This window comes from Homo sapiens, chromosome 17, assembly GCF_000001405.40.
Source record: "Homo sapiens chromosome 17, GRCh38.p14 Primary Assembly".
Lineage (NCBI taxonomy): Eukaryota > Metazoa > Chordata > Mammalia > Primates > Hominidae > Homo > Homo sapiens.
Genome location: NC_000017.11, coordinates 79,886,309 through 79,889,282, shown reverse-complemented (window position 1 = coordinate 79,889,282; position 2,974 = coordinate 79,886,309). Strand labels below are relative to the sequence as shown.

The 2,974-nt window shown below is 54.0% G+C and overlaps 1 annotated feature.

Moving 5' to 3' along the window:
- Positions 246-747: an enhancer, noted in NCBI's record as "H3K4me1 hESC enhancer chr17:77862335-77862836 (GRCh37/hg19 assembly coordinates)". NCBI's record gives its function as "activates a minimal SCP1, AML or CMV promoter by ChIP-STARR-seq in naive H9 embryonic stem cells {active_cell/tissue: H9 hESC(naive)}" and the evidence as "EXISTENCE:reporter gene assay evidence [ECO:0000049][PMID:30033119]".

Sequence of the window (2,974 nt, the reverse complement as noted above, 5' to 3'; positions counted from 1 at the left end):
AAGACAGAACCCACAGCGGGGAGACAGAGGGGTGAGAAGGGAGTTTGGAAGGGAATTGGCTCACTCAATTATGGAGGCTAAGTCCCATGACAGGCCGCCTGCAAGCTGGAGACCCAGGGAGCCCGGGCTGTGACTCACTCCTGGTCCAAAGGCCTCAGAGCCAGGGAAGCCGCTGGCATCACTCTCAGTTTGAGGCCAAAGGCCTGAGAACCCAGGAGGCCATGCGTGCGAGTCCTGGAGTTCAAAAGCCAGAGAGCCTGGAGTCCTGGCGTCCAGGACAGAAGTGAGCTGGCTTCGGGAGAGAGCCGGAATTCATTCTTTCTCTGCCTTCTTGTTCCATTTGGGACCCCGGCCACTGGGTGTGCCCACGCACATGGAGGGTGGGTCTTCACCATTTGGTCTCCCAACCCTCACAGCAATCTCCCCCCGGAAACGCCCTCACAGACACAGCTGGGGCATCCCAATATTCTAACCAAAGGCCAGACCCCAGGGTTTCCCTTTCAGCGGAAGAGGGACAGGCTCGAGCTCACTGAAGCTTCATCCAGTCAAACTGACAGCGGACTCAGCCCCACGGCATCTCAGAGGAGTTTCGCTATCACGGTGAAGTCAGAAGGGCCCGGGATGTGACAGAGGCAGATGGTGCAAACAGAGAGAGAGGGCAAGCTGAGACCCAGAGAAAACCCACAGCCATGACCACGGTGCCACTCAGCTGTGCCTGAATCTTCATGGGCCGTGTCATAGTCACATAACCACCATCAATCTCCCACTTTTAGGACCAGCCTGTGAAAAAGGCCCGAAGGATAGCTGGTCACAGAGGAGCCTCCAGCCCCAGTCTCCGCAGCAGGCTAGAGAAGCAGAGATGCAGAGGGCGAGAGTGGGGCGGAGGGAAGCCCCGAGGGGCGGGGCAGGGACCCTCATATCCTCACAACCCAGAGGAGAGTCAGCTGAGAGACGCTGGGACAGTGTCTTCTGTGGCTTCTGAGATGGGGTTGTAGCAAAGTTTCGTGAAGCAAGCGGCAGCTAAAAGTCCTGGGCCGCCCAGCTGGGTGCGGTGGTTCACGCCTGCAATCCCAGCACTTTGGGAGGCCGAGGTGGGCGGATCACTCGAGCTCAGCCTGGGCAACCAAGTGCGCACTTGAGACCAGCCTGGGCAACCAAGTGCGACCCCACCTCTACAAAAAAGAAAAACATTAACCAGGCAGGGTGGTGTGCACCTGTGGTCCCAGCTACTTGGGAGGCTGAGGCAGGAGGACAATTTGAACCCCAGCAGTAGAGGCTGTAGTGAGCTGTGATTGCGCCACTGCACTCCACCCCGGGCAACAGAGTGACACCCTGTTTCGGGAAAAAAAAAAAAGTTAAAAAAAATAAAATAAATAAATAAAAGTAATGGTCCTCCTGTATTGGAAGGAGCAGGATGGGACTGGGTTTGCTGCTCCGCCATCACAGCAGGAAGAGATAACGGGTCCACATGGATGCAGAGATAAGAGATGAGTGGTGATCGCACTCAGTCCCATGGCACTAAATAGCATCTTCCTGTCATCAGCTCTTTAGGTCACACCTCTAGCCCAAACCATGCTCCCAACTCCAGTGGACCGCATCCAATTAAAATGGACGATATCCCAGCTAGACCATCGAGGGGGCCACCCACCTCCGCACCCCGCAGACTGGACATCTGACCTCCCTCCGCAGCTGCCCCACCCTAATTTTTGTCAACTCCGTCCTTCCAGTTGCTCCAGCAAATAAAACTTGGAGTGTCTTTGATTCTCTCTTTTTCTCTTCACATCCAATCTATCAACAAGTGCTGTCGCCTCTACCCTCAGTATTGCTCCATGATTCAGAACCCACCCTTCTTAGTCCCCTCCATTGGTCCCAGGCAGCTGCCATCTCTCGCCTGGATTAATGCACTGGCCTCCTAACCAGCGTCCCTACTTCTGCCCGAGAACCATCCTCAATAGAGAAGCCAGAGCGGTCCTGTAAAAGCCCAAGTCAGCACATGCCACTTCTCTGCTCAGAATCTAGCAAGCACTCCTCATTTTTCTCTGATAAAAAAACAAAACACAAAACAAAACAAAAAAACTGAAGTCCTTACAATTGCCTCCAAGACCCTAAGTGATGGGGCGCCTCTCCTCATTCCTCCTCATCATCTCTGACTCCAGGGTCCCCTCCAGCCCCCCAGCCTCCTCTCCTCATTCCTCCTCATCTCTGACTCCAGGGTCCCCTCCAGCCCCCCAGCCTCCTCTCCTCATTCCTCCTCATCTCTGACTCCAGGGTCCCCTCCAGCCCACCAGCCTCCTTGCTATTCCTGAACACAGCAGACACACTCCTGCCTTGGGGCCTCTGCCTGGAACACCCGCTCCTGTCCCCCCACACCTCCATGTAGCTAGCCCCTCCTCTCCTGTAAGCCTTGGCTTAAACGTCTCCTCAGCTCAGTGTTCCCTGGCCAGCCTACTTTAGCTCGTACCCCTCTTCCTGGCACTCCTGATTCTCCCCTTACCCTGTGCTATTTTTTTTCCAAAGTGCTTCCTGCATTCTCAGGTGCACCCCACTCACGGGTTTATGGTGTTTATCAGTTGTTGTCCATCTGCCCCTGCGGGAATTATGTTTGCTCCAGGATGAGGTCAGTCCCCTATATCAGCTCCCAGAGGGGAGGGATCTTTGCCTGTTTTGTTTCTGGAGTTTCACAAGGGCCTGGGACAGTGCCTGACACACAGGAGGCCCTGGGTCAATATCCATCAAATGGGGGGTTGCATGCGTTTGCCATCTGAAGATGTGGAGGCAATGGCCAGAACTAAGTCCACAAAGAGCTAAGGGCCCTGAAGAGCAGCTGTCTCTGGAGAACAGGTTCAGAAGAGGGAAAAGGAAGCCAAGGAAGCTATTGCACTATTTTAGAAAATCTGTATGCACGCATTACCTTGATTTTGTTTATTTTATTTATTTTTTTTTTTGAGATAAAGTCTCACTCTGTTGCCCAGGC